Consider the following 6,000-nt stretch of genomic DNA (forward strand, 5'->3'; position numbering starts at 1 on the left):
GCCACAGGTTCATGGATGCTGCAGAAGACACAAGACTCTCAGCTCACAGACAAAGGGCTTTACTGCAGCAATAGCAGGAGCCAGAGTATCTGCAGTTTGCTACCCCAGATCCCAGGGCCTCAATTCCTCAAGCCGCATGAAGAGTGCAGAAGATGCCTGCACATGCAGTAAGTCGCATTAGAGGAAAGGAACCCAGGCTTAGGAGGCCTGAACCTTTTCTAATGAGCAAGAAACATACGTACCTTTTGCTCCAATGGATCCACTCTTTCCATATCCCAAAGCTTTTTGCTGTACAGTTATCCTTGAAAAGACAGTCCAGAATAAAGCCAGTCAGTGGCCCCGCTCATGAGCTATGCAGAAATGAGACAGATCCGTGGGAGATTGTCTCTCAACAAAGTATCACCTTCCTAAGGAGCACTGTGGAAATTTTAAAGGGCATTTTTGATTTTCACAATGACTGACAGTGCCACCGTCATTTCATGGGCCAGGGCCAGGTACATTAGATATTCCACAATGTATGAGAGAGTATCAAGAAAAATGAAATATCTCATGAGCCACACAAGTTTTGAATGTTCTGGTAAGCATTTACTTAAGTGGGGAAAACATAAACTTTACCATTTTTTTTTAATGTTCTGTTTTTTGAGACAGGGTCTCACTCTGTTGCCCAGGCTGGAGAGCAGTGTTGCAATCTCATTTCACTGCAACCTCCGCCTCCCAGATTCAAGCAATCCTCCCGCCTCAGCCTTCCTAGTAGCTGGTACTACAGGTGCATACCATCGTGCCTGGCTAATTTGTGTAATTTTTGGTAGAAACTGGGTTTCACCATATTGGCCAGGTGGGTGTTGAATACCTGACCTCAAGTGATCCACCCTCCTTGGCTTGCCAACATGCTGGGTTTACAGGCAAAACACCTATAATTTCTGAGCCTACACCCTGTCTCCACTCTACAAAGTATTCTTAGCACAGCTTTAATATACACTTAAAATTAAATCATTTAAATAAAGAAATGTACTTTGTTTTGTTCAGAATTCTATCAAAAGTTATTCAACATTGGGGGAAAAATACATTGCTAGCAGCAACATCAGTTGTTTGAATCACCACACTTGTATCAGACTCCAATTATAGCTGATATAATTATAGTGATTTTGTGTATATATAAAAATGTACTTATTCTGCCTTTAGTTCATAAGGTGAAATATGAAGAAAAATATTTTCTGGAACATTATCTTACTTCTCTTAAATAACACTTCTTCATTAAAATAACATGTTGTCAGATGCTTGTATCAAATATTGTTGAGAGGTTAACGAAGAATAGGATTAAAAATTGACCACTGGGTTTAGTAGTGTAGAAATCATTACCGACTTTGAACAATTTCAGTGGAGAGGTGGGGTCAAGACTCTGTTTGAAGTTGGTTCAAACAGCAGGGGAAGACAGGAATTGAGAAATGACTATAAACGGCATATCTGAGATTTCCTGTAAAGAGGAGCAGAGAAATAAGGTGGTATGCAAGGCAGTTGATGCCTAGGACATAAAAAAGGCTCAATAAGTGTTGTCCAAAAAGGAGCTCCATGACCCATAGGAGGTGCCCAGTAACTGGGGGCCTACTGAATAAGTATTAGTAAAAAGGAGGAGCATCTTTTCATTTGAGTTTTAAAAGAAATTATGCTGTTAGAGGAGGAACATAGAGGTGAAAGGGAGTTTTAAGCATAAGCCAAGGCACAAATATGGGAGGGAGAGGGGTTTGGGGAGGAGCAACTTGCCTGCCAAAGTTGCAGGGGGAAGGGGGGGTTGGTATAAGGGGAGGTGAAGGGGTGGGAGGACCAGAAGGCTTGAATAGAGGGACCTGGAGAGACAGCTGACAGATCTTGAAGGCCTGATTGTGGCGTTTATGTTGCGTCTGATCAATAACAAACAAGCCAGAGGTCTCGAGCAGTCAGGGACATAATGGGAATGTAGCCGTAGTTCTATTTTTCTGTGCTGTGCTTCTGTTCCAAGTGTTGAAATGGGGCAGGTTACAGCTCATGCTCTGGACAATCTAATGAGAAGTGCATGTTTTTATGCTAAGCTAACTCCAACCTTCAGTTTCTTCTCTGAGTTAGGGCAATCTTGGGAGTAAAATCCTGGGGATAAAGAGTCATAGGAAATAGAAACTTGCTTTAGGCATTTAAGGGTGGGCTGGGGAGAATGGGTCCTCCTGAATGAATGCATTGGATGCTGGCTTTACAACATACTGTGCAGAAAGCCAGGCACCGTCCTTTCATCTGGCTGTCAGCAGCAAGCTCTGGTTTCTCAGACAGGGGCATGTATGCCTTAATGGCCCCTCTCCCATTTCCATGGATCCAGGTGATAAAACAGTGAAAACTCAGACCTAATTGAGTACCTCAGAGGCACAGTAATTCATCTTGTCACATATGGTATTGAGATTGGCCAGGCATGTTGGTGAAGTCCATTTACCCAGAGGATAGAGTGGTGAGGATGGGTCCGAGAGGCAGTGAGTATGGCACAGCCACAAGCAAACCAGGCATTGGCCCCAGCTGGACCTGGCTTTGAATCCCGATTCCATCTCCTGGCTGCATGGTCTTTGACAAGTTCTTGAGCCTCGATTACTTTACATGTCAAATAAGAATGATGCTGATTATGAGGATTAACTATCTACAGTGTTTGTTGCATAAGAAGAATGTTTCTTGTCAATGCTAATTTTTAAAAATATCATCCTGTTCTGGCCAGTTGGTAAATGACGGAGCAAGCGGACAACTGCAGGAGAAGCACTGATGTTTTTCTGGCCTAAACTTGACAATTCCGCCTGGTGAAGTCCACTCAGCTGCAGATGATAGTCTACTCTTTGACAATCCTATTTTGTTCATATGGTCCATGTTATCAGGAAAGCTCTAACAGGAGGATGCCATCATTTTGAAATTCTTCAGACTATGACTCAATATTCTTTTTGATCTTGGGGATTCTGTTTGAACTTTTAGATTCCAGGGTACATGTGCAGGTTTGTTACATGGGTATATTGTGTGACACTGAGGTTTAGGGTACAAGTGATCCTGTCACGCTAAATGGGAATGGGCATAGTACCCAATAGGTAGTTTTTCAGCCTTTGTCTCGCTATCTTCCTCCCCCTTCTAGTAGTCCCCACTGTCTATTGTTTTGATCTCTATGTCCATGAATTCCCTATGTTTAGCTCCTACTTATAAGTGAGAATATATGGTATTTAGTTTTCTCTGCCTACATGAATTAGCTTAGGATCATGGCTTCCAGATGAACCCATGTTGCTACAAAGGACATAATTTCATTCTTTGTTATGGCTGTGTAGTATTCCATGGTGTATATGTACCACATTTTCTTTTTCCAGCCCACACTGATGGGCACCTAAGTTCATTCCGTTTCTGCTATTGCGCATAGTGCTGTGATGAACATACAAGTGCATGTGTCTTTTTGGCAAAATGATTTATTTTCTTTTGGGTATATACCTAGTAATGGGATTGCTGGGTCAAATGGTAGCTCTGTTTTAAGTTCTTTGAGAAATTTCTAAACTGCTTTCCACAGTGGCTGAACTCATTTACATTCCCAACAGTGTATAAGTGTTCCCTTTTCTCTGCAGCATCAGCAGCTTCTGTTATTTTTTTAGTTTTCAGCAATAGCCATTCTGACTGGTGTGAGATGGTATCTCATTGTGATTTTGATTTGCATTTCTCTGATGATTAGTGACATTGAGCATTCTTTTAAACGTTTCTTGGCTCATGTATGTCTTGTTTTGGGAAGTGTCTGTTCATGTCCTTTGTCCACATTTTAATAGGGTTATATTTTTGCTTGTCAAATTTTTTTTTTCTTTTTGAGACAGAGGTCTCACTCTGTCACCCAGGCTGGAGTGCAGTGGTGCAATCTCAGCTCACCACAATCTCCGCCTCCCAGGTTCAAGCAATTCTGCCTCAGCTTCCTGAGTAGCTGGGATTACAGGAGTGAACCACCACGCCCAGCTAATATTTTTGTATTTTTAGTAGAGACAAGGTTTCACCATGTTGGCCAGGCTGTTCTCAAACTCCTGACCCCAAGTGATCTGCCCACCTCGGCCTCCCAAAATGCTGGGATTACAGGCGTAAGCCACCATGCCCAGCCTGCTTGTTGAATTGTTCAACTTCCTCATAGATTCTGGATATTAGACCTTTGTTGGATGCATAGTTTATAAATATTTTCTCCCATCTTTTAGGTTGCCTGTTTACTGTGTTGATAGTTTATTCTGCTGTGCGGAGCTCTTTAATTAGGTCTCATTTATCAATTTTTGATTTTGTTGCCATTGCTTTTGAGGACTCAGTCAGGAATTCTTTGCCAAGGCCAATATCCAGAATTGTATTTCCTAGGTTTTTTTCTGGGACTTTTATAGTTTGAGGTCTTACATCTAAATCTTTAAGCCATCTTGAGTTAATTTTTGTATATGGTGAAAGGTAGGGGTCCAGTCTCATTCATCTGCATATGGCTAGCCAGCTATCCCAGCACCATTTATTAAATAAGAAGTCCTTTTCCCATTGCTTATTTTTGCCAACTTTGTTAAAGTCAGATGATTGCAGCTGTGTGGCTTTATTCCTCGGTTCTCTATTCTGTTCCATTGGTCTATGTGTCTGTTTTGGTTACTGTAGCCTTATAGTATAACTTTAAGTCAGGTAATGTGATACCTCCAGCTTTGTTCATTTTGCTTCGGCTATTTGAGTTCTTTTTTGTTACATATGATTTTAGAATACCTTTTTCATTTTTAAAAATTTTAATAGCTGGGCGTGGTGGCTCACGCCTGTAAGCCTGTAATCCCAGCACTTTGAGAGGCTGAGGCAGGTGGATCATCTGAGGTCAGGAGTTCAAGACCAGCCTGACTAACATGATGAACCCCCGCCTCTACTAAAAATACAAAAAATTAGTTGGGCGTGGTGGCGGGTGCCTGTAATCCCAACTATTCAGGAGGCTGAGGCAGTAGAATTGCTTGAACCCAGGAGGCAGAGGTTGCAGTGAGCCGAGATCATGCCATTGCACTCCAGCCTGGACAACAAGAGTGAAACTTTGTCTCAAAAAAAAAAAAATTTTTTTTAATAGAGATGAAGTCTTACTATGTTGCCCACACTGGTCTTGAACTACTGGCCTCAAGCAACCCTCTTGCCTCAGCCTCTGAAAGTGCTGGGATTACAGGCATGAGCCATTGTGCCTGGCTGAATTTTTTTCTAATTCTGTGGAAAATGACATTGGTAGTTTGATAGAAATAGTATTGGAATCTGTAGATTGCTATGACCATCTTAATAATATTGATTATTCCAATTCATGAGCATGGAACGTTTTTCCATTTGTTTGTGTCATCTATGATTTCTTTCAGCAGTGTTTTGTAGTTCTTGTAGAGATCTTTCACCTCCTTGGTTAGATGTATTCCTAGGTATTTTTTGTGTATGTAGATATTGTAAATGGAATTGTTTTCTTGATTTGACTATCAGCTTGATTATTATTGGTAAGTAGAAATGCTACTGATTTTTTACACTAATTTTATACCTTGAAACTTTACTAACTTGATTAGTTCTAGGAGCCTTTTGGCAAAGCCTTTAGTGTTTTCTAGGTATAGATTCATATCATCAGTGAAGAGACATAATTTGACTTCTTCTTTACCTATTTGAATGTCTTTTATTTCTGTCTCTTGCCTGATTGCTGTGGCTGGGACTTCCATTACTATGTTGAATAGTAGCAATGAGAGTGGGCATCGTTGTCTTGTTCTTCTTCTCAAAGGGAATGCTTCCAGTTTTTGCCCATTCAGTATGGTGTTGGCTGTGGGTTTGTCATAGACAGCTCTTATTATTTTGAGATATGTTTCTTCAATGCCTACTTTGTTAAGGGTTTTTAATCATGAAGTAATGTTGGATTTTATTGAAAGCTTTTTGTGCATCTATTGAGATGATCATATGGATTTTGTTTTTAATTCTCGTTATGTGGTGAATCACATTTATTGATTTGTGTGTTTAACCAATCTT

This window comes from Homo sapiens, chromosome 1 (assembly GCF_000001405.40).
Source record: "Homo sapiens chromosome 1, GRCh38.p14 Primary Assembly".
In the NCBI taxonomy this organism is placed as follows: Eukaryota; Metazoa; Chordata; class Mammalia; order Primates; family Hominidae; genus Homo; species Homo sapiens.